Source organism: Homo sapiens, chromosome 9 (assembly GCF_000001405.40).
Source record: "Homo sapiens chromosome 9, GRCh38.p14 Primary Assembly".
Lineage (NCBI taxonomy): Eukaryota > Metazoa > Chordata > Mammalia > Primates > Hominidae > Homo > Homo sapiens.
The window spans coordinates 107,447,657-107,473,101 of record NC_000009.12 but is presented as its reverse complement, the minus strand read 5'-3'; the positions used below and the strand labels follow the sequence as shown (position 1 = coordinate 107,473,101).

Below are 25,445 nucleotides of genomic sequence, written 5' to 3'. Positions count from 1 at the left end.
TGGCATGGGAATTGGATTTGCAATTTGGGTCTTTGTAAAAGGATTAGATGATCTCTATTGTTTAATGTTTGGATCTCAATTTGCATTTGGAAACACATGACCCCATTGGAGGTTTAGTTCTCTTTTATTTTCATGTTCTTGTTCTGATACACAAATGATACTATTTGTTAAAAAGTTGATAAAACTGCTTGGTCGAATGGTTGTACTGATTAGGAAGTGTGATACGTTGATCTTCTCTGTGAATGGTGGAGTCTACCTGGGCTCCAGCAAAACCGAGCCAGTAATCTATTTGCCAACTGACAAACAACTCATAGGGTAGAGGTCTGCACGTTTCATTGATTTCCTTAATTAGAATGCATGGCTCTTTGTTAGAGAAAGAAAGCACACAGAGATATGGTCAGACAGTGGATCTGCAGAAGGAATGAAAGAGAAAAGCCTCTGACTGCCTGGGGACATATTTGAACACTCCTGTTCAATGTCTTTGTTTATAAATAAAGGTTTGAGAAAATGTATTTTAGGTTTCAGATAACAATACTCTCAGCTGTACACGATGTTTAACTACTTGTCCTTTGGTAAACTTTTTTTTTTTTTTTATATGGAGTAGGAGTCTTGCTCTGTTGCCCAGGCTGGAGTGCAGTGGCGTGATTTTGACTCACTGCAACCTCCGCCTCCCGGGTTCAAGTGATTCTCCTGCCTCAGCCTCCCGAGTAGCTGGAATTACAGGTGCCCACCACCATGCCTGGCTAATTTTTGTATTTTTAGTAGAGATGAGATTTTGCTATGTTGGTCAGCCTGTTCTCGAACCCCTGACCTCAGATAATCCGCCAGCCTCGGCCTCCCAAAGTGCTGGGATTACAAGGGTGAGCCACCACACCCAGCCCTGATAAACATTTTTTTTTTTTTTGAGGCAGAGTTTTGCTTTTGTTGCCCAGGCTGGAGTGCAATGGTGCAATCTCGGCTTACCACAACCTCTGCCTCCCGGGTTCAAGCGATTCTCCTGCCTCAGCCTCCCAAGTAGCTGGGAATACAGGCATCTGCCACCACACCCAGCTAATTTTGTATTTCTAGTAGAGACAGGGTTTCTCCATGTTGGTGAGGCTCATCTCGAACTCCTGACCTCAGGTGATCCACCCGCCTCAGCCTCCCAAAGTGGTGGGATTACAGGCGTGAGCCACCAAGTCCAGCGTGGTAAACATTTTTAATTAACATTTGCTTTGAGAACCTTCTCAGATTGGCCACATAAAGCCTGGAATAGAAACTGCGTGAGGAGGGACAATTTTTCAGAGTGTGGGTTTAGGTCACGTGGTTTATTTGTTTGTTTTCTTTTTAACGCTTCAGATTCTTGCTCCTTTATCTTTGTCATTGACCACAGGAAAACATTTTTTGCATGTCAGGATGAATGTACTGGGAAACATAAACTTGGAGTTGCTGGTTGATTGAGCTAGAGGTAGAATAGAAAAAGGCATTCACATTCATTGAACACATATGGTATGCCAAGAACTCTGCTAGATGTTTAGGAATTTGTTATTATATAACACCGAGGCTCAGAGGAGTCAAGTGACATGTCCAAGGTCACAGAGCTGTCATTGGAACCCAGATGTGCCGGATTGCAAGCCCAGGCTCCTACTGCCATATCACACCATTTCTCAGATAAAGTAAAGCTAACTTCTGCTTTATCTGCTCCTTACCTCCTTGGGATGTGTGTTTGATTTTTTCTTCTAAACAAGGGTTGTATTTGGTGCACGTGAAGCTATATGGGCAAGATTGGCCTAACCCATCCCTTTTCTAATACAGGCAAGTAATCTTTTTTTTTTTTTTTTTTTTTTTTTTTTTTTTTTTTTGAGATGGAGTCTTGCTCTGTCGCCCCGGCTGGAGTACAGTGGCGGGATCTCGGCTCACTGCAAGCTCCGCCTCCCGGGTTCACGCCATTCTCCTGCCTCAGTCTCCTGAGTAGCTGGGACTACAGGCGCCCGCCACAGCACCTGGCTAATTTTTTTGTATTTTTAGTAGAGACAGGGTTTCACTGTGTTAGCCAGGATGGTCTCGATCTCCTGACCTCGTGATCCGCCCGCCTCGGCCTCCCAAAGTGCTGGGATTACAGGCGTGAGCCACCGTGCCCGGCTAATTTTTTCATATTTTTAGTAGAGAAGGGGTTTCACCGTGTTAGCCAGGATGGTCTCAATCTCCTGACCTCATGATCCGCCTGCCTTGGCCTCCCAAAGTGCTGGGATTACAGGCGTGAGCCACCGCGCCCGGCAAGGCAAGGAATCCTATCTGTGGCTCGATTAAAAATACACCACATTCTTCTAGGATCCAGTTTGGATAGTGACTTAAGAAAAGGCAATAGTTTTCTGCATGATAGCATCCCCACAACCGCTATAAAATCACCAAGAGTAAATAGGTCATTGCCTTTCTTCCCGGGTATTTCACTCACGGATTTCAAAGCATTTTACGCATGTATTCAATCTATTGAAACAAAAACTAGCAGCCCTTTTTATAGTTGGGCCAATTGGAAGTACTCCGAAGAAAGAATCTTTTCTGAAGTTCACACACTCTGAGGCCTCCTTAAATGGAGAACACGGGAGAGGAAGTTCACCCCAGGAGCGGCACATTCGAGTATTGTGCTTAGAGCCCACATTCTCAGCCATGGCCCATGGGAAACACTCCTGCTTCTTTGCCCATCTTCCAAAATGCTTTGCCAACATTCTCCTAATGCTACCAATATTTAAAGATAATTTCTTTCCCCTAAACAGGATCTCAGCCTAAAATAGATCTGGGTCTATGTCACTGGGCATGAACAAATGACTCAGAGAGCCATTTCAGATCTCAGAAGCAAGGAAGGCTCTTTGGAGCACCAGAGCATAGTCTGGGAACAAATGAGTGACAGAGCTGAAAGGTGTTCCGAAGATCATTTTATTTCTTTTTTCTCTTTTTGAGATGGAGTCTCACTGTGTCGCTCAGGCTGGAGTACAGTGACACAATCTTGGCTCACTGCAAACTCTGCCCCCTAGGTTCAAGTGATTCTCCTGCCTTAGCCTCCCAAGTATCTGAGATTACAGTGCCCGCCACCATGCCTGGCTAATTTTTGTATTTTTAGTAGAGCTGGGGTTTCACCATGTTGGCCAGGCTGGTCTCGAACTCCTGTCTGCAAGTGATCTACTTGCCTTGGCCTCTCAAAGTGCTGGGATTACAGGCATGAGCCACTGTGCCCAACCCCAAAGAATATTTTATTTCAAGGCTGCTTTGCACAAATGAGGAAGATGAGACCTCACATTCCCAACAGCTAGGCCACTGCAGAACTTCATTCCAACCTAACACTTCCTGACCCTCATCCTCCGCCTGCACATGAGGTCATAGAAGCAAGACCTAGGGGGTCTCCTAACCAAGACGCAAGTGGTAGGTAAGCAGGCAGGTTGTTATGAGTGGGTATGTTTAGCATCAGGGATAGCAGAAGAAAAATGAGTCTCTCCTAGAAAATGTGTTGATTTGGACTATTTTCTACATGTGTTGGGTTTTGTTTATTTTGTTTAGTTGTTGTTTCACTTTTCTCCTTTAGCTCATTCACGTCATCTGCTAGGTTTATATATATCCCATTCTCTCTGCCCAACAGTAGGGCATTGGTTATATAAGTTCTGACATCCCTAGAATGGACTCCTATGTGCCATTAAAATTATCTAGTAAACAATAATAAGGGCCCGGAGCGGTGGCTCATGCCTGTAATCCCAGCACTTTGGGAGGCCAAGTGGGGCAGATCACCTGAGGTCAGGAGTTCGAGACCAGCCTGGGCAACATGGTGAAACCCCGTCTCTACTTAAAATACAAAAATTAGCTGGGGGCAGTGGCAGGGTGCCTGTAATCCCAGCTACTCGGGAGGCTGAGGCACGAGAATCGCTTGAACCTGGGAGGTGGAGGTTGCAGTGAGCCAAGATCATGCCATTGCACTCCAGCCTGGGCGACAAAAGCGAGACTCTGTCTCCAAAAACAAACAAACAATAATAAATAAGGGCCAACATTTAGGAAGGTTTACTCCATGCTGTCTCTGTACTCAGCATTTCACAGGCATTTTTTTTCATTCAGTCCCGACAATAATCCTATAAGGTAGTCATGACTGTTCTCATTTTAGGGACGAGGCATCTGAGGCAAAAAGAACTTAGGTAACCTGCCTTGAGTCACAAAACAAGCAGGTGATGGAGCTGGAATTTAAACCTGATTCTACTCAGACCCATATTCTTGAGCCACCTGCTCATTATATGCAGAAGAATGTTCAGAAGTTAACGGGGAGGGGGCAGGGTGAAGGGGAGGAGCTTAGTACTATCCAACTTGGTAAAATACATTTATGTTTACGTGTTGGGGGGTATATATGCACTCAGAAAATTCTAGAAGGGCCACTTAAATGCCAATTCCTTGAAGCAGCCTTTTCTGACTATACTAAAAGAGCCCTCCCACCTTGCTCATGTTGTTATCTCTTTAACCTGCTTGATGTTGTCTCATGACACTTACGATTACCTGAACTGTAACATATACTGGATCTATTTATTCTCTAGCTTCCCTCTAGAATGAGGAGGAGGACAATGCCTAGGAAACTACCTGGCACATAGTAGGTGTTCAATAAACATTGTTGATTTGAAAGACTGAACCAAACCCTTGATGTTGGTTGCTGTTGTCCTCCTCCACCCCGCAACCACTGCCAAATGGGAACAACTTAGATTATTATCATTATTATTATTTTTATAAGGCAGCTTCCTGAGCCAGAGTAGGCTCAGACAGACTCCCAATTTAGATTCCTGATCTTAAATGGATTGAAAGTTTTTCTTCATGTTTCGTTAAAAATATTCCAAGTGGAAAAAAAAAAAGAAAAAAGACTGGGTGCAGTGGCTCATGCCTGTAATCCCAGCACTTTGGGAGGCTGAGGCAGGCAGATTATCTGAAGTCAGGAGTGTGAGACCAGCCTGGCCAACATGGTGAAACCCCATCTCTACTAAAAATACAAAAATTAGCTGGGCGTGGTGGCAGGCACCTGCAATCCCAGCTACTCAGGAGGCTGAGTCAGGAGAATCTCTTCAACCTGGCATCGGAGTGGTGGGGTCAGGGTAGGGGTGTCGGGGGTGGGGGCATTGAAATGAGCTGAAATCACACCACTGCACTCCAACCTGGGTGACAGAGAGACTCTGTCTTAAAAAAAAAAAAAAAGCCAAGCATGATGGCTCACTCCTGTGATCCCAGGGAGGCCAAGGCAGGAGGATCACTTAAGGCTAGGAGTTCAAGGCCATCCTGGGCAAATTTGTGAGACCCTGTCTCTACAACAACAAAAATCAAGAACTTAAAATGGTCCACTTTAAAGTGCAAAAAGGTAATCTCCCCCTTCCTGGACAGAGGCTTCTCTAGAGCAGAAAGTTCTTTTGATTGCAAAAGAGAAGACCATTGGAAATCTGCTTAGATAAACTTGCTTTGAGTCAAAAGTGAATCATTAATGTTTCAACTGCTAATCCACTTAGCGTCCTATTCACCCAGATGGCTGTTTTGAGCACTCACATCATGCTTTTTTAGAAAGATAAAAGTTTCCAGTCACCAGAGATTCAATTGAGCAAGGGTAAAAGACAATTGATGGTAGATGAAGAGATTGAAGTTTCTGAGATGAGTGAACAAACACTTATCTGGTCAATGTGAAAATGAATGAAACATTTGAAATGAACTGATATGAGTTGGTTGGGTTTTATCCCTATAATAAACTCTTTCCTTTGCCCTCCAAAAAGGATTAGGTCTTCTGCGAATGAGAGTTATAACCAACTCATCTCTGTCCTCAAGCCATATGGCCTTGACCTTTCTTAGTGACGGCCTAGTCACTTTAAACCATGGGTGGCTGTTGGAGATTTTTCTTGTTTGCAGCCAAGTCCTTCTGAAGGGTGACTTTGGCCCCATCAGCAGCTTCAGGAGCCATCTAAAAGCCAGGAGCAATGCATCCCTGCATTCCCTGAAGCCAAGGGGCTGCTCTGGCTGGCTTCCTTCCCTCTTCCCCGAACAGAACCAAGCTCCTATAGAAAATTCATAAATTCTTGGCAGGAAAGAAATCCTCCCATTGGAAGGAACAGATGTTGTACGAGTAACTTTTGCCATTATGCTATTCCTAATATCATAGTTTTAAAGTGTGGGGGGATGTTAACTTTTTTACAAATGTCAACATGTTCTGGGCAGTTTTTCCATCTCCATCTGTGGCATGCACATCACCAATCCTTCTGCTGCCCCTTTTTAAAATTTTCCAGGGAGTAGTTGGAAATTGGAAATATATTAAAAAGTGAAGGCGGAAAATTCAATTCAACAATATGCTAATGTATATCCTAATGGAGAAAGTAATATGCTGTTTCCCTCCCGTTGTAAATGTCAGAAATATTCTTTCTCGTCGCCTTAGAACTTGGAATGGTGTACAGACTTCTAACAAAGTAATTATGACCAATTAACAATCAGAGACTATTGCTGTTACCAGAATTCCCAGAGTGAGTAAAACCCCCCTTCTAAAGAAAGCCTCCATCCTGCTTCACATTCAAGGGGCTTCTAGGCCATTTGCACTTCGTTTACACCTCATTAAACTGCCCACATTATATGCCTGGGTCCCAGGTGACTGTGGGAAAAGATCAAGGTCAGTGGATGCCGCATCTACCCTCCGAGTAACCTTAAAAAGGGTGACTGCACCTCTACTGGTGCTAGCTGGGGTCCCCTCCCTGGGGACAGCGATGCCCGCTTGCGGCGGCTTCTGCGAGGGCCAGAGCGCCCGCTGGCTGTGGCCGGGCCCAGAACACGCCTGATCGCTTTTGGGTTCAAAGTCAGAATCGGGTGAGCGGTCTGGGTGGGATGGGGTGGAGTGGGGTGTGGAATCGCTGCGCAGAAGCAGAGGAAGGTGACAGCGGGGGCGGGGCGAGGAAGCAGCGGAGCCAGATTTAAGTGCGCCGCCGGATCGTCCCGCAGTTTCCGTTCTCAGGCCAGGTTTCCCCCCTTCCGCCAGGTCGTAGCCAAACCAGTCCCCAGATCCGTGTGGGGCCTAGTGTCGGAACCCGCACCCCAGAATAGCTCGTTCTTGAAGCTCCGTGCTCAAGTGGAGGTGCAAATGGGAGCGCTCGCGGGGTGGGGCGCGGCTCGGGGGGCACCCATATCCAGAGCCGATCCCATCCCGCGCCCTTACCCAGTCCCAGTGGGCCCCTGTGCGGCTTCCCCCGCATCCTCTCTGGGAGGCCAGTCCGCTCTCCCAGGCGCGGCTAGGGGCGCGAGGGACTCAGGAGAGCGTGGCCACCCCTCTGCGCCCGGAGCTAGAGGCGGGCGCAGCGCCCGCGCGGTCTGCAGTGCCCCCCACCGGACGGCCCGGCACAGGACGGCTCCGGACCTGGCTACCCGCTCCGCGCCGCCTTTGCTGGAGGGAGCCGGCGCCCCTCCTCTTCCTCCCTGTTGAAGCTACCAAAGTTGTGAAATTTACAATCAAGTCAAGGAGAATACGCTGGCGCTGTCACTGCCTGGCTTCCAGCTCCCGGGGACTGTGGACTTCTAGGCTTCCCTTTGGCTAACGTGAAAATAGACGGGACAAGGTCATGTAACCATTAAGTGGGAATGTGCAATAACGTGTCTGCTACATGACAAATACTCGCTAAAAGACGGACATCGTTATGATTACTCGCTGGCTAGGCTTTGGCTTCTCTGGAGTCTGCTCCTCTGTGGCAGATAGGGATGGTTTCTACCTTTCCTTTGAGGTAGAAAAGGAACCTGAGCACCCAGCTGGGGTCCAGTCTTGCAGTGCCACTAACTCCATCTATGGCTGTGGCCTCAGCTGTCTCCTTTTTGAACCTAAATATTCTCATTGCAAAATGGGAGTAATCATACTCCACCCACAGAGTTGCTACAAGATGAGAAATGAAGGACTCCTTATTCGGGGCAAACTCACTCCCACTGTCAGCTGGCGGGTCCCAGACCACCTGTATCTGTAGCACGTAGCAGGTGCAGTGCATAACATTTGACCCTACTCACAGGCGGCGCTCTTTTCTTTTTAATTTATTTTTGTAGAGAGAGGGTCTCCCTTTATTGCCCAGGTTGGTCTCAAATTCCTGGCCTCAACCAAGCCTCCCACTTCAGTTTCTGAAAGTGCTAGAATTACAGGAGTGAGCCACGACGCTCAGGGTCCTTTTTCCTGAAACACATAGTAGGTACTCAATGCAAGTCTCACCCACCCACAGCAGCTAGCCCATCTAGGGTGCCTTTTGCAGCCCTGTCTGTGACCAGGAAGCCTGGGCTGTGGGAGGTTTTAACTGTTGGGATTCTTCTTCCTTCTCTCCCCTTGACACCCCTTCCACAAATGCCTGGGATCCTTTCTGGAAATTGGTGATGTTAGAAATAATAACACACAGTCCTGAGACATAGTGCAATGGAATGCACAGTCAGAGGACCTGACTGTCAAGGGCAGCCCTGCTAGTTAGTTCCTGGCTATCTTTCTCCTGCAACCTCTCTGAACTCCAGTAACCTTATCTTTCTTTCTTTTCTTTTCTTTCTTTTCTTTTTTTTTTTTTTTTTTTTTTTGATACAGAGTCTCACTCTGTCACCCAGGCTGGAGGGCAGTGGCATGATCCTGGCTCACTGCAACCTCCGCCTCCTAGGTTCAAGTGACTCTCCTGCCTCAGCCTTCTGATAGCTGGGACTACAGGCACCCACCACCATGCCTGGCTAATTTTTGTATTTTTAGTTGAGACGAGGTTTCGCCGTGTTGGCCAGGCTGGTCTCAAACTCCTGACCTCAGGTGATCCGCCTGCTTCAGCCTGCCAAAGTGCTGGGATTACAGGCGTGAGCCACTGCGCCCAGCCCAGTAAACTTATCTTTCTTTTTCTTTTCTTTTTTTTTTTTTTTTTTTGGAGACAGAGTCTCACTCTGTCGCTCAGGCTGGAGTGCAGTGGTGTGATCTTGGCTCACTGCAACCTCCCACTCCCGGGTTCAAGCGACTCTTGTGCCTCAGCCTCCTGAGTACCTAGGATTACAGGCGCCCACCACTATGCTCAGCTAATGTTTTTGAATTTCTGGTAGAGACGGGGTTTCACCATGTTGGCCAGGCTGGTCTTGAACTCCTGACCTCAGGTGATCCGCCTGCCTTGGCCTCCCCAAAGTGCTGGGATTACAGGCGTGAGCCACTGCTCCCGGCCGTAATACAATATTTTATGCCAGCAATCCAAATTTTGGGACTGTGTGATAAGGCACCAGCAACTTTGAGGTCCCATACTGGTAACTTCTCAAGATCTCTAATATGATGAACTTTAAGTGAGAAAAAAAAAATACAGAAAACCAGTGTTCAATATTTACATGGCCTCACCAGTCACAGTGCACTTCTGTGTACATTATATCCATTTAATTGTCAGCCCATTTTCCAGATGAACCTCAAAGAGGTAGAGCGACTTTGGACACAGTGCTCATCTCTACAACACAGAGTCTTCTCTCAATTCAGCCTTATCTCTATGCTGTTAGACAAAGATGCTGGGTTGGGTGCAGTGGCTCATGCCTGTAATCCCAGCATTTTGAGAGGCTGAAGCAAAAGAATCACTTGAGCCCAGGAGTTCATGACCAGTCTGGGCAACATAGCAAGACCCCATCTCTATTTATTTATTTTTTAATTTTAATTTTTTTTTTTTTTTTTTGAGACAGAGTCTCACTCTCTCGCCCAGGCTGGAGTGCAGTGGCATGATCTCGGCTCACTGCCACCTCCACTTCCCGGGTTCAAGCGATTCTCCTGCCTCTGCCTCCTGAGTAGCTGGGACTACAGGCACATGATGCCACCACACCCAGCTAATTTTTGCATTTTTAGTAGAGACAGGGTTTCACCACGTTGGCCAGGATGGTCTTGATCTCCTAAACTCGTGATCTACCCACCTCGGCCTCCCAAAGTGCTGGGATTATAGGCAAGAGCCACCAAGCTCAGCCTATTTATTTAAAAATAAAATTAAAAAAAGATGCTGCTTTCCTAGGTATGACAAAGTGGGACTTTTCACCGGCCATCTGAGCAAGCGTTCTTTGAGACTCTTTGGAAATGATAGGACACAAACTTTATTAATACAGAACATTGAACAAATTAGAGAGTGTTTACATATTATGACAAGGCATGCAGCAGGCTGTTACTTTACCAAAACTATTCATTATGGGGCCGTTTGTTTAAAGGTTGCCCTGGTGGCTTGGAGACAGTGCCTTTTGCTCTCTGACTCACAGGAAGCAAAAATAAGTTACTATCAGGTGATGAGCATACTTAGAAGCCAAACTAAAAATGAGAGGGTTTATCATCCTCTGGCGTAAAGCAGTCGGCTCCACTTTCAAACTGGTAAATGCCAGGCAGTTGAAAATGTAATATTTTATTTGTGTGATACATATTGTGTGTGTGTGTGTGTGTGTGTGTGTGTGTGTGTGTCTGTTTTTTGTTTGTTTTTAAGATGGAGTCTCGTTCTGTTGCCCAGGCTAGAGTGTAGTGGCATGATCTCGGCTCACTGTAACCTCTGCCTCCGGGTTCAAACAATTCTCTGCCTCAGCCTCCTGAGTAGCTGGGATTATAGGTGTCCACCACCACACCTGGCTAACTTTTGTTTTTTTTTTTAGTAGAGACCGGGTTTCACCATCTTGGCCAGGCTGGTCTTGAACTCCTGACCTCATGATCCACCCGCCTTGGCCTCCCAAAGTGCTGGGATTACAGGCGTGAGCCACAGTGCCCAGCCTGTGTGTGTTTTTAAAAAAGCTCTTTACTAAGCATTTGCTAATTACAGTATGCTAATTTCTGTGTTTGGAAACACGCGAAGGGATATGATATAATCTCTGTCACCAAATGGTCCGCAGTCTGATAGGAGAGACAACTATATAAATGTGTCTAGTAGTCACCTCATTTGTAAAGTGGGAACAACCATAGGACCCCTTTGTGGGGAACTTCTGAGGACAAGCCATGAAAAGCATGGGTGAGAAACAGTTGTTGGAAGCCTGAGCCAAAACAGGCTCTTACATAGGTAGGGCTTGCATTAGCCCCTTTTTCACATGAAGAAACTGAGGCTCTGAGAGGGGAAGAGATTTGCTGATTCACAGCACAGCCAGCATTCAAATTTAGATCTGATCCTTCTCTTCCCACCACATTACATTCAAAGTTTATGTTGACCAGGCTGGTCTTGAACTCCTGAGCTCAAGCGATCCTCCCACCTCCCAAAGTGCTGAGATTACAGGCATGAGCCACCACGCACAGCCCAATAAACAGTTTTATTTTTTGTTTTTTGCTTTATTAGCTTTATTGAGATATATGTACATCTAGATTGTATATTTAATGTATACAAACTGATGAGTTTAGATATACCCATGATTTCATTACCACAATCAAAGTAATAAACATATCCATCTCTCAAAATGTTTTCTTGTATCCCTTTCTGTGTGTGTAGTTTGTGGACTTAACATGAAATCTTAACATGAGATCTTAACAAATTTTTAAGTGCACAATGCCATATTGTTAACTGCAGGCGCTATGTTATACAACAGTTCTCTAGAACTTACTCATCTTGGGTAACAAAAATTTTATACCCATTAAGCAACAATTCCCCATTTCTTTCTTCCTCCAACCCCTTACAACCACCATTTTACTCTATGCTTTTATGAGTTTAACTATTTTAGATACCTCGTATAATTGAGATCATGTAAAATGTGCCTTTCTGTGGCTGGTTTATTTCACTTGCGTAAGTGAAACTAGCTCTTTATCAGATAAATAGTTTTCTTTTCTTTTCTTTTTCCTTGAGCCTCAGCATTTCTACTTTTTTATGGCTTCTGTCTTTTGGTTGACTTTTTTCATTTTAGTTTTGTATTGCTTTCATGGTATTATTTAGTGTTCTATCTACGTTCTCTTGTAGCTCACTGAGCTGCTTTAAGATGATTATTTTGAGCCAGACGTGGTGGCTTACACCTGTAATCCCAGCACTTTTGGAGGCCGAGGCAGGTGGATCACTTGAGGTCAGGAGTTCGAGACCAGCCTGGCCAAAATGGTGAAACTTTGTCTCTACTAAAAATACAAAAATTAGCTGGACGTGGTGGCGCATGCCTGTAATCCCAGCTACTCGGGAAGCTGAAGCAGGAGAATCGCTTGAACCCAGGAGGCAGAGATTGCAGTGAGCTGAGATCCTGTCACTGCACTCCAGCCTGGGTGACAAAGCCAGACTCCGTCTCAAAAAAAAAAAAATTATTTTGAATATTTGTCAGACAATTCACAGATCTCCATTTCTTTAGGGTTGGTTGCTGGAGATTTATATCATTCCTTTGGTGATGTCATATTTCCCTGATTCTTTGTGTTCCTTGTAGTTTTGCATTCCTGTCTGCACATCTGAAGAAGTAACCACCTCTTTCAGTCTTTGTACATTAGGCAGGGATAGACCTTCACCAATCCATCCAGTTAGAGATTCTGGGAATCTCTCAGATCTTTTCTGTGTGTGTGCCTACTTTACTCCTCTCTCTCTGTCTCCTGCTGGAGAAGTCTCAGGATTGTGCGCCTCCTCCTGATCCTGCAGTGCTCTGCCAGGTGCTGAGAGCTGTCCAATTTTTTTCCCTGGGGTTATGCACAGAGATGCTGGTTGTTGGGTGCAAGCTCTCCCTCCTGAAAGAGAAGTCTCAGGACTGTGTGCTTTCTCCCAGTCCCACAGAGCTGAGCTGGCTGCTGAGATCCGCTCTGGCTGTAGATATCTGTGCTGGCTGCTAATATTCATATCAGCTGCTGAGACCCACAGGCCAGTTGCTGAGATTTGTGAGCTGGCTGTTGAGATTTACATGTAGGCCTCTGAGAGTCCCACCCCTTTTGTTTGTTCTTAGCTGCCGGAGACATTCTAACTATGTTGATTCCCTCAGACTCTAGGTGAGATAAGACAGAATTGGGTCTTCAGCTCTATGGGGCATTGACCCAGAGACTCTACTCTGCCAATTAGCAAGTAGTGCTTAAACCAGCAAGGTGGCTTTGAAGTTTGCTTAGATAACAGAGCTATTATGACTTTATTTACAACATGAATCCTGAAGTCTCTAAATATGTAATGTCATAACTCATCACATATCATCTGCTTGCTTTGGTGACAGAATAAGAAAACGGCAGACTTAGGTCAAATCTCTGCTCAGTCACAGATTAGCCATGGGACCTTGTGGAACTCACTGAACCTTTGAACCTTTTTTTTTTTTTTTTTTTTAGATGAAGTCTTGCTCTGTCACCCAGGTTGGAGTGCGGTGGCACGATCTCAGCTTACTGCAGCCTCTACCTCCCAGGTTCAAGCAATTCTCCCAACTCAGTCTCCCGAGTAGCTGGGATTACAGGTGCATGCCACCACGTATGGCTAATTTTTTTTAGTAGAGACGGGGTTTCATCATGTTGGCCAGGCTGGTCTCGAACTCCTGGCCTCAGGTGATCTGCCCTCTTCGGCCTCCCAAAGTGCTGGGATTACAGGCATGAGCCACTGTGCCCAGCTTGAACCACTCTGAACCTTATGTTTACCCTTTTTTAAATGGGCGGTTGGAAGGACACAAGGAAGCAACCAATGGGAAGTGTCTCTGCACACTTACATGTTATGAATATGAGTTTTGATGTACATTTGAGAAGCCCTACTTGACCCTTTCCAGCTCCTCCCAAACACTGGCCTCCAAAGATCCATGGTGCTTACTCCCCTCTTCATGGTGCTATGGTTAAATAAATTTGAAACTGGAAGCCTAGACTCAAGTGGAGATAAAGCCAAGGTTAAGGGTGAGACTTTGGTTTAGATTATTTAACCTAGCAAAGCCTCAGTGTCATCATCTGTAAAATGAAGACAATAGGGCTTGTTAAAGTTAAGATCATTAATAAGAATTAAATGGGATACTGCTTATAAGTGTTTAAAACAGTGTCTACCTCATAGGAAGCATTTCATAAACACTAGCTATTTTTATCATTATTATTAACTAGGTCACATTTCCAGGGTATTGGGACAAGGAGTACAAGCCGAGGTACAGTTCCTAAATAATGCTGATAATGTCATCTCTAAGAAGAGATTGTTGGAGTGAAGTTCCTAGGGCCTCTGATGCTTGATGATTTCCAGCTTTAGCTCATCTACTCACTGGCCCATGGTCTTAGAGTCTAAGGCAAGTCCCTTCCCCTGTTTACACCTTAGTTCCCCCATTCCTTCACTAGTCATTTAAAAGAATTGATCTAGGTCTTTAAGAGCACCAAGCATGCTCTTTGCTATAACTTGGGGGACCTCAAAAAAATTTGTCATTATACTTCTATTCTATTTCAATTCCTTGCCCTGAACGTGGAAAAGAATCCATATTAATTTCACTCCCCATGGCTGCAAGTTGAAAGTTCCAAGGGGCCACATCTGGCACGTTGAGATGAGTTCCAGACAGTCAAAACTTAATATAAATTGACTGACAAATTTGGAATATGGATGGTACGTAAGACAAAAGTCCCATATCAATGTAAATGTATGAAATGATAAGTGAAGTTGAATGAAGTTGGATATTCCTATCTTTTGTAAATGCACACTGAAGTATTTAGGGGTGAAAGGCCATGATGCCTGTAACTTACCCTCAAACAGAGTACAATCTTAGCAATAGGTGAATCTGGGTAAAGGATATATGGGTGACTTATACTATTTGTGCTTTTGCAAGTTAAAAATTATTTCCAAATAAAAATTTAAAAATAAAAACCTAGGAGCAGTGTGAAGAAGAAGAGGCAAGAACAACCCCTGGACCGACCAAAGCCCTGTGCCCTTGCATCCCATACCCAGCACCCACATCCTGCTGCCATTGTCACCACCATGCCCAAGAGAAAGGGTGAAGGGGATGCTAAAGGAGATAAATCCAAAGTTAAGGACGAACCACAGAGAAAATCCACGAAGTTGTCTGCTAAACCTGCTCCTCCAAAGCCAGAGCCCAAGCTTAAAAAGGCCCCTGCAAAGAAGGGAGAGAAGGTACCCAAAGGATAAAGGGAAAAGCTGATGCTGGCAAGGAGGGGAATAACCCTGCAGAAAATGGAGATGCCAAATCAGACCAGGCACAGAAAACTGAAGGTGCTAGAGACGCCAAGTGTACTGTCTGTATTTTTGATAACTTGTGTACTTCTGCTGACTGTACAGTTTGAAATACTATTTTTTTTGTTTTTTTGTTTTTTTTTTTTTTTTGAGACAGATGTCTCTAGACTCAAAGCCTGGCTCTCACATATACTGGCTGGGCAACCTTGAGCAAGCTATTTAATGTGTGAGCCCTTAGAGGTTAATTAAACCTTATCTAGTAACTATTCGTGACTGAAATGAAAGATACGGCATAAAAGTCTGTCAAGTGATTGGCGGCCTGAATAGGATTTGCATACTCCTCGGAACTCAGTGTTTTATAATGAAGTATTTGCCCAGGCTGGAGTGCAGTGGCACGATTTTGGCTCACTGCAAGCTCCGCCTCCTGGGTTCAAGCCATTCTCCTGCCTCAGCCTCCCGAGTAGCTGGGACTACAGGCGCCCACCACACCTGGCTAAATTTTTTGTATTTTTAGTAGAGACGGGGTTTCACCATATTAGCCAGGATGGTCTCGATCTCCTGACCTCATGATTCGCCCACCTTGGCCTCCCAAAATGCTAGGATTACAGGCGTGAGCCACCGCGCCCAGCCCTTTGAAATACTATTTTTATCAAGTTTTATAAAAATGCAGAATTTTGTTTTCCTTTTTTTTTCTTTTTCTTTTTTGAGACGGAGTCTCACTCTGTCGCCCGGCTGGAGTGCAGTGGCATGATCTCGGCTCACTGCAGCCTCCACCTCCCAGGTTCAAGCGATTCTCCTGCCTCGGCCTCCCAAGTGGCTGGGATTACAGGTGCCCGCCACTCCGTTCAGCTAATTTTTTGTATTTTTAGTAGGGATGGGGTTTCACCATGTTGACCAGGCTGGTCTCAAACCCCTGACCTTGTGGTTCACCCGCCTTGGCCTCCCAAAGTGCTGGGATTACAGGCGTAAGCCACCACTCCCAGCCAACCTTACTTTTTTTTTTTTTTTTTGAGGCAGAGTCTTGCTCTATCACCCAGGCTGGAGTGCAACGGCGCAATCCTGGCTCACTGCAACCTCCGCCTCCCGGGTTCAAGTGATTCTCCTGCCTCAGCCTCCCGAGTAGCTGGGATTATAGGTGCCCACTACCTCGTCCTGCTAAGTTTTTTGTATTTTCAATAGAGACGGGTTTCACCAGGTTACCCAGGCTGGTCTTGAACTCCTGACCTCAGCTGATCCACCTGCCTCGGCCTCCCAAAGTGCTGGGATTACAGCTGTGAGCCACCATGCCCGGCCTTTTTTTTTTTTTTTTTTTGAAGCTATGCTGTGAGCACATGGAACACTTCATTGTTGTTTTGGGGGGACGGGGCATATGTCACTGATAGAATGTCTCTGAAGCTGGATTGATGTGGGGAAAACACATTTCCCTTCTAGGTTTGAGAGAGTTCCTCTTGGCTCCCAGGAGGAGGGACTCCCTGACTTTGACACACTTGGCCACCTTGGCACAAAAGCCTTGTGGTATGAAAAAACAAATTCATTTTTATGTCCTCTTCTCCCTTTCCATCTTTCAGCATAGACTTAGCTCCCTTAAGCCCAGACATCTGTTGGGACCTTACCCTGAGTCATTGGTTGCCAGTGTGTCAGGCAATCTGGACTTTCCAGTGATGCCACTGAGATGGCACCCCTCAAAAGAACCATGGTTCCATCTCTAGCTTGTGGCTCTTCAGATAAATTCTGCCATTTTCATTTCACTTCCTGAAAATCAGGATTGGCTCGTGAAAAGTTGTTAAACAACATGCTAAATGTGAAATGCCAACCCTCACTCTAAACTTTCCCTGTTCAGGGCATCAGTTGAAGACTTCATCGGGCTTTATAGTGGCTTCCTGATTTTTGGCAGCCCATTGAAGAAAGGAGTTTGAAGGTTGTTATATACTGTTAACGATTGTCTACCCATGTCCTGTCTGAAATACCATGGTTGTTTATAGAAAGTTTCTGTAATAAAGCTGGACACAGTCTGAAAGCATAACAAAACAAAACGAAAAACAAACAAAAACCTAGTAAGGGACAAGGAAGTCACGACTTTCTTGTTAATCCTTCCTCAACTAACATGAGCACTATAAAGCAAATAGATGAGGTTCTGGAGCAAAAGTTCCCAAGCAAATACTTCATTATAAAACACTGAGTTCCGAGGAATATGCAAATCCTATTCAGGCCGCCAATCACTTGACAGGCTTTTATGCCATATCTTTCATTTCAGCCACGAGTAGTTACTAGATAAGGTTTAATTAACCTCTAGGGGCTCACACATTAAATAGCTTGCTCAAGGTTGCCCAGCCAATATATGTCAAAGCCAGGCTTTGAGTCTCAAGACACCAGTCTCCAAACCCTGTGCTCTTTTCTCCCCCACCCCCAACCCTGTGCCAACATGGGCCCTGCCCTGGGGGAATTTACAGTTTACAGGGGACAGTACATACCTATATAAAAAGAGAGGCCAGCACTTGCATGTAAATCATGTATGGGGTTGTAGAAGCAGCTGTAAAAATAATGGCATCATTACAGAAGATTAAAACGAAATCAATTTCAGCCACAGTACAGGCTTTGTGTGCTTTCAGCATGGACTCCACAGACTGTATCTGCAGTTAAAAGGAAACCCCCAGGTGTTTTATTAACAATGTGTTTCAAAATCATATAAACATAAGGAAAGAAATATGCTGGCATTTATTACCGTATTTACCTTTTCATATTGTTTCTTTCTTTCTTCCTTTTTTTTTTTTTTGAGACAGAGTCTCGCTCTGTCGCCAGGTAGGAGTGCAGTGGCGTGATCTCGCCTCACCGCAACCTCCGCCTCCTGGGTTCAAGCGATTCTCTTGCCTCAGCCGCCTGAGTAGCTGGGACTACAGGTGCGCACCACCACACCCGGCTAATTTTTGTATTTTTGGTAGAGACGGGGTTTCACCACATTGGCCAGAATGGTCTCGATCTCTTGACCTCATGATCTGCCCACCTCAGCCTCCCAAAGTGCTGGGATTATAGGCGTGAGCCACTACGCCTGGCTGTTTTTACATCTTTTCTCCCCAAACATTGTTATATTGCCACAACTTATATGGTTTTGTCTCCTCCTAGGTTTCCTGCAACCTCACTGGGCATTTTCAGAATGATCTGTACAAGCGTTGACTGAATGATTGATTCCAAGTTCCCCCTTCCTAGGATTTCAGACCTCCTCTTGACAAGTGATGAATGGGCCATCTTAATCTTGTTTGGATCAGAAAGGACCATACAATTGAGGTAAGAGGGGAGCTGGTTTCTTCAGTGTGACAGAGACAACACCCTGTCCGTTCAGGTCCCCTCACCAAAAGCTTTTTTTTTTTTGAGATGGAGTTTCACTCTGTTGCCCGGGATGGAGTGCAGTGGCACCATCTCTGCTCACTGCAACCTCCACCTCCCAGGTTCAAGCAATTCTCCTGCCTCAGCCTCCCGAGTAGCTGGGGCTACAAGTGTGCGCCACCATGCCCAGCTGATTTTTGTATTTTTAGCAGAGGTGGGATTTCACCATGTTGGCCAGGCTGCTCTCAAACTCCTGGCCTCAAGCAATCACCTGCCTCAGCCTCCCAAAGTGCTGGGATTTTAGGTGTGAGCCGCCATGCCCAGCCACCAGAGCTCTTATTTTTTATTTATGTTTTTTTTTTGAGATGGAGTTTTGCTCTTGTTGCCCAGGCTAGAGTGCAGTGGTGCGATCTTAACTCACCGCAACCTCCATCTCCCAGATTCAAGCAATTCTCCTGCCTCAGCCTCCCACATAGCTGGGATTACAGGTTTGCGCCACCACATCTGGCTAATTTTGTATTTTTTGTAGAGACGGGGTTTTACCATGTTGCCCAGGCTTGTCTCGAACTCCTGAGCTCAGGTGATCTGCCTGCCTTGGCCTCCTCTCATTGTATTTTGTGTACACAATACTCCCTACAAGGTCTGGAACTGCCTATGACCTCCTCAGATGAGCAACCAAGAACAATTGTCTGTCTGAAACAGCCTTCACGTGGTGGTGACGGTAGCTCAGAGCAGCAATCTCCTTCCTATTCCTCGTTGTTTCCCAACCAGTGAAAACTGATAATATAACATTGCCCAATTATATGCCTATAATGTGTCTGTATCGTGTGCTCATATGTGCACTTGTATAAAGCCAGGTGTTCATGGGGCCAGACATACATTATATGCCCATATTGGTGTTTATATATGTACAATTGTATAATATGTAGATTATAGGCACATAGATATTATGAAAGAATGGCACGAACACGAGTAGAAACTGGAGTTTAAATGCTTTTCTCCAGCCCCACAGTAGGTCAAGCAAAGCTCTTGAGGGACCACTGCTCCAAACTAGTGACGTACAGTGTGGCAGGCAGGATCACCAGCACTCAGATTGCCTGAAGGCAATATTAAAAATGCACATTCATAACTACCTCCCTCACCCCATCAGAACCTCCGCAGAGAGCCAGAAATCAGTATTTAAAAGATGCCCCCAGGTGATTCATAAACTTAGACATTTTAGTAGGTTTTCAAGACCTTAGGTCTAAACCTGGCTTATATATCCCTGGTCACTTATCTTCTCTGAGCCTCAATGTGTTCATTTGTAAATGAAGATAACAAGACCCATTCTCAAGGGAGATGTATGTAAAGATGCCTATCATGCACTGTTTTTCAAACATTAGAAAAATGTGGCCTATAGTAAGAAATACATTTTATATCACCACTAGTATAAACATATATCTGTCCATGTATATATATAACTGCAATAAATTCTATACAACAATACTCTCAAGCCGTGGCTCCTGCCTCTAATCCCAGCACTTTCGGGAGGCTGAGGCAGGCGGATCATGAAGTCAGGAGTTTGAGACCAGCCTGGTCAGCATGGTGAAACCCCGTCTGTATTAAAAATACAAAAATTAGATGGACGTGGTGGCACATGCCTGTAATCCCAGCTACTTGGGAAGCTGAGGCAGGAGAATTGCTTGAATCTGGGAGGCGAAGGTTGCAGTGAGCTGAGATCGTGCCACTGCACTCCAGCCTGGGCAACAAAGTGAGACTCCATATCAGAAACAAACAAACAAACAAACAAACCCAGAAACAATACTCTCACCCTTTCTATGGGCGGTGCCCCCTGAGAATTTCTGATTTATTCTATTCTGATTCATTTAAGGAAAAAACACTGCTAGGGATCCTGGGTGACTTTTCTGAGTAATAGCTGGCCTTTGTAAAGTTCTTGTGCATACGTGACTTCACTGTAGTTTGGATCTTCACAATAACCCAGTGAGGTGAGAGGTAAAAAGTGGAAGTTCAGAGGGGAAAGAGGGATCTATGGATCTGAGACTGGGATCTATTTTGTTTTTTTGAGACATAGCCTCACTGTTGCCCAGGCTGGAGTACAGTGGTGAGATGACTCACTGCCACCTCCTGGGTTCAAGCAATTCTCCTGCCTCAGCCACCTGAGCAGCTGTGATTACAGGCATGCACCATTATGACCGGCTAATATTTATATTTTTAATAGAGATGTTGTTTCATCATGTTGGCCAGACTGATCTCGAACTCCTCACGTCTAGTGATCCGTCTGCCTTGACCTACCAAAGTGCTGGTATTACAGGCATGAGCCACTGTGCCCAGCTGGGACTGAGGTCTTACCCTGGGCCTGTATTGCTCTATGCTGTCCCCCAGTGTCACCCCAGCCATGCCTCCCAAACTGGTCCTACAGGGCTTCTTGGAGACTGAGTGAGACTAGGGCCATTTTCATTTTTGAGGGCCCTGTTTTTTTGTTTTTTGTTTTTAGAGGGAGGTAGTGCCAAAAGGGGGAGAACTATTATATTATATTTCACAAATTAATGCCCTGAACATACAAACACATCAACTGCAATGACTACACATGTACTCTCATTGGGAGATGATGTCAGAAGCCTAGGTTTAAGACCATTCATGATGTGGGACCCTGTATCAATAACCCTCGTGTGTCCCTCCCCCTTGATTGTTGAGGGGTCCTCATGGCCAAACTTGTTTCACATAAATTTAGCTGAATGGAGGTTGTAGGTGAACATGCTGGAGTGGGTTCCCTGGAGGGTGAGGATGGAAGCCAGCTGTCTACGATCCAAGGTAGAAGAGAAGATAAAGAAGGAGAGTGAATGAGTATAAAAATGCTTTCCCAAAGCGTGGCTCTGAAAGGCAGGTGGAACCAGGGTTAGTAATAGCATGAGTTGCTTAAAGGAGTACTGAGATAAGACAAGATTGAGCATGTAGGAAATGATAAGATGATCTGTCTAATAGACAAGGCTGAATTTAAAGACACAGAAGAAATTAAAGTGTGGAAAGATGGGAAAACATGAAGACACAGACCATGAGAAATCAGTGTCTTATATAAAAAGGCACTTTCTTTTTCTCCAGAATCAAATGTAATAGGTGAACTTCATCACTGAGCCACCAAATAATATGTGAGGGAAAATGTCTTCTTATAAGATTTTCATAAGGTCAATCTGCAGAGGACTTTAAGAAAAATATAAAATGTGTGGATCATGTCCTCCAGGTTTATCTATGTTGTTGCAAATGGCAGGCTCTCCTTTTAAAAGGCTGAATAATATTCCATTGTGTGTATAGGTGTGTATAGATGTGTGTGTGTGTATGTGTGTGTATATACATAAAACAATTTCTTTTTTTCTTTTTTTCCTGAGATGGAGTTTCACTCTTGTTGCCCAGGCTGGAGTGCAATGGTGTGACCTTGGCTCACTGCAACCTCTGCCTCCCTGGTTCAAGCGATTCTACTGCCTCAGCCTCCCACGTAACGGGGATTACAGGCATGTGCCACCACCCACCACGTCCCCCACACCCCAGCTAATTTTTGTATTTTTAGTAGAGACAGGATTTTACCATGTTGGTCAGGCTGGTCTGAAACTCCTGACCTCAGGTGATCCACCCACCTCAGCCTCCCAAAGTGCTAGGATTACAGGTATGAGCCACCACCATCGCTCCTAGCGGACCACAATTTCTTTATTCATTCATCCATCACTGGACACATAGGTTGTTTCTATAATTTGGCTATTGTGAATAATGTTGCAATGAACATGGAAGTGCAGATATCTCTATGAGGTGCTGATTTCATTCCCTTTGGTATATATCCAACAGAGGGATTGCTACACAGGTAAACCTGGAGGACATTATGCTAAGTGAAACAAGACAGGCTGCATAACAAAAAGACTGCATGATCTCAAGTATAAGTAAATCTTTTAAAAAGTCAAATACATGCCAGCCAGGTGTGGTGGCACACGCCTGTAATCCCAGCTACTGGGGTGGCTGAGGCAGGAGAATCGCTTGGACATGGGAGGCAGAGGTTGCAGTGAGCCGAGATCATATCATTGCACTCCAGCCTGGGCAATAAGAGGGAAACTCCATCAGACAAAAAAAAAAAAAAAAAAGTCAAATGCAGGCCAGGCTAGGTGGCTCACTCCCATAATCCCAGCACTTTGGGAGGCCGAGGCGGGTGGATCACTTGAGGTCAGAAGTTCGAGACCACCCTGGCCAACATGGTGAAAACCCATCTCTACTAAAAATACAAACATTAGCCAGGCGTGATGGTGCGTGCCTATGACAGAGTGAGACTCCATCTCAAAAAAAAGAAAAAAAGTCAAATACATAAAAACAGAGTAGAACATGGTGGTTACCAGGAGCAGGGAGGGGAAGAAAAAGGCAGAAGTGGGTCAAATGGTATGAACTTGCAGTTATGTACTAAGTCTAGAGCTCTAATATGCTTCATGAGGACTATAGTTAATAATATCGTATCGTAGGCCGAGCGCGGTGGCTCATTCTTGTAATCTCAGCACTTTGGGAGGCTGAGGCGGGTGGATCACTTGAGGTCAGGAGTTCGAGACGAGCCTGGCCAACATGGCGAAACCCCATCTCTACTAAAAATACTAAAAATTAGCTGGGTGTGGTGGCATGTGCCTGTAATTCCAGTTACTCAGGAGGCTAAGACAGGAGAATTGCTGGAACCTGGGAGGTGGAGGTTGCAGTGAGCCCAGATTGCACCACTGCACTCCAGCCTGGGCAACGGTGCGAGACTCCGTCTCTAAATAAATAAATAAATAAAACTGTATTATATACTGAAAATTTGCTAAAAAGTAAATTTTAGGTGCTCCTACCACACGCACATGCATGCAACACACCCAAACACACACACTCACAAAGATAACTATGAAAGATGATAGTGCTGGGCGAGGTGGCTCACTCCTGTAATCCCAGCACTTTGGGAGGCTGAGGTGGGAGATCACGAGGTCAAGAGATCGAGATCATCCTGGCCAACATGGTGAAACCCCGTCTCTACTAAAAATATAAAAATTAGCTGGGTGTGGTGGCACACGCCTGTAGTCCCATCTACTGGGAGGCTGAGGCAGGAGAATCACTTGAATCCAGGAGGCGGAGGTTGCAGTGAGCCAGGATCGCCCCACTGCACTCCAGCCTGGTGACAGAGCAAGACTCCATCTCAAAAAAAAAAAAAAAAAAAAAGAAAGATGATGGATAGGATATTTTCATGACAGTAGTAATTAGTTCACATTTATATGTGTATCATATCTATATCATATATATCATCATATTATATACTTTATTTATATCTTTTTACATTTTTTTGAGACAGGGTCTCACTCTGTCACCCAGGCTGGCGTGCAATGGTGCAATCTCAGCTCACTGCAGCTTCCACCTCCTCGGCTCAAGCGATTCTCATGCTTCAGCCTCACGAGTAGCTGGGATTATAGGTGCCCGCCACCACGCCTGGCTAATTTTTGTATTTTTAGTAGAGACGGGGTTTCGCCACTTGGGCCAGGCTGGTCTCGAACTCCTGGCCTCAGGTGATCCACCCGCCTGAGCCTCCCAAAGTGCTAGAATTACAGGTGTGATCCACCATGCCCAGCCTACGTAATATACTTTAAATATATAGTTTTAATAATAAAATCAATAGATTAAGTAGACTTAAGAGACATATCAAATTTTTTAAAAAAGAAAAATTATTATTATATTTAGAGATGCCTAACTGGATGACGAATGCGAGAAAGTGAGTGTTGAAGAAGTGAGAACCTAGCTGGGCATGGTGGCATGTGCCTGTGGTCCCGGCTACATGGGAGGCTGAGGCAGGAGGATTGCTTGAGCCCAGGAGGTTGAGGCTGCAGTGAATCATGATTGTACCACCACACTCCAGCCTGGGTTAGAGGGTGAGACCCTGTCTCAAAACATAAAATAAAATGACAAAATAAATAAAAGTGAGAACAACAGTTACTTTTGGAGGAGGATTGGAGCCATGATTGGGATGGGGTTGGTAGATGGTTACTGGGATGACTAGTAAATTCCCTCCCTCCCTCCCTCCCTCCCTCCCTTCCTTCCCTCCTTCCCTTCCTTTCTAAATTAGAGATGGGTCTAGCTACCTTGCTCAGGCTGGTCTCAAACACGAGGCCTCAGGCGATCCTTCTGCCTCAACCTTTCAAAGTACTGGGATTACAGGCATTAGCCGCTGTGCCTGGCCAAAGTTCTATTTCCTGATTGGAGTGGTGATTAAAAAGAGATGTGCCTCATAATAATTCACTAAGCTAGATTTCTGTGGTTTTGTTTCTCAGCTTTAGACAAGACTAAAAATATCAAAAGTAGCACTCTGCAATTTTATGTGCATGTGGCTTGAAGCTCTGACAACAACACAAAAGGTAAGGAGCCAATGACTGTGGTACTTCAAACCCTAGCACATTTACAGCTGTCTTTCCTCCTCACAATACCACCAGGAAGGAGAATTTGTAGCCTGACATAAGAGAAATAACAAAGGACTTGGAATCAGGTAGTCCTGGGCTAAAGTCAGCTGTCTACACTTTTGACTGGTTGCCTTCTATTTCATAGCTGTGCAATGTTGTGCAAGTTGGCCAATCCCACAGAGCTTCAATTTCCTCATGTATCAAATAGGGATAATGAATTGTGTGGATTAGATAAGTGTGTGCAATGTACACAGTAGATGCTCAAGTGATGCTATTATCATAATTGTTTTTATGAGTCAAAGAACAGGTTGACCAGGTTCTAGGACCTGGAAACTGTGTGTGAATCTGCTGCCATGTGGGCTCATTGTTCTGATTATTCCCATAGTTGTTCTAAACTCCAAACAAGGGTCTGTTCTCCTGCTGCTGGCTGCCTTCCCACGAAAGACAGGCCCAAGCAGGGAAGCAATGGGTCATGCTTTTGAGTGCTGGAAGCATGTGACCCTCTTTGAGATGTCTTTCCTTGCACATCAAATGATACAATCGATAGTCAATGAATGTTAGGGAATCAATGAGTCACACTTTCAGTGACAAAGGCAGTGATAAAAACTCCTTCATTGACTATTCCTTTCCCATCTGGGGTTCTGAAATTGGGTGGCACTGGTTCATCTGCTGGAAGCCT

General features: G+C 45.1%; 1 long non-coding RNA gene and 1 pseudogene across 1 annotated transcript in view, besides 3 other annotated features; both read left to right on the top strand.

Moving 5' to 3' along the window:
* Nucleotides 6,249–6,748: an enhancer, noted in NCBI's record as "H3K4me1 hESC enhancer chr9:110228635-110229134 (GRCh37/hg19 assembly coordinates)". NCBI's record gives its function as "activates a minimal SCP1, AML or CMV promoter by ChIP-STARR-seq in primed H9 embryonic stem cells {active_cell/tissue: H9 hESC(primed)}" and the evidence as "EXISTENCE:reporter gene assay evidence [ECO:0000049][PMID:30033119]".
* The window catches only part of LINC01509 (long intergenic non-protein coding RNA 1509), a 46,302-nt gene continuing 27,373 nt past the window's right edge, over nt 6,517–25,445 (top strand). The window contains exons 1-3 of the long non-coding RNA NR_121581.1: nt 6,517–6,634; nt 18,129–18,290; nt 24,641–24,724. This is a non-coding gene — a long non-coding RNA (long intergenic non-protein coding RNA 1509). The remainder of the gene's footprint in view (nt 6,635–18,128; nt 18,291–24,640; nt 24,725–25,445) is intronic.
* Nucleotides 7,251–7,430: a silencer, noted in NCBI's record as "silent region_20157". NCBI's record gives its function as "represses an Ori minimal core promoter by ATAC-STARR-seq in GM12878 lymphoblastoid cells {active_cell/tissue: GM12878}" and the evidence as "EXISTENCE:reporter gene assay evidence [ECO:0000049][PMID:35858748]".
* Nucleotides 12,635–13,136: an enhancer, noted in NCBI's record as "NANOG-H3K27ac hESC enhancer chr9:110222247-110222748 (GRCh37/hg19 assembly coordinates)". NCBI's record gives its function as "activates a minimal SCP1, AML or CMV promoter by ChIP-STARR-seq in naive H9 embryonic stem cells {active_cell/tissue: H9 hESC(naive)}" and the evidence as "EXISTENCE:reporter gene assay evidence [ECO:0000049][PMID:30033119]".
* HMGN2P32 (high mobility group nucleosomal binding domain 2 pseudogene 32) lies at nt 14,664–15,160 on the top strand (annotated as a pseudogene).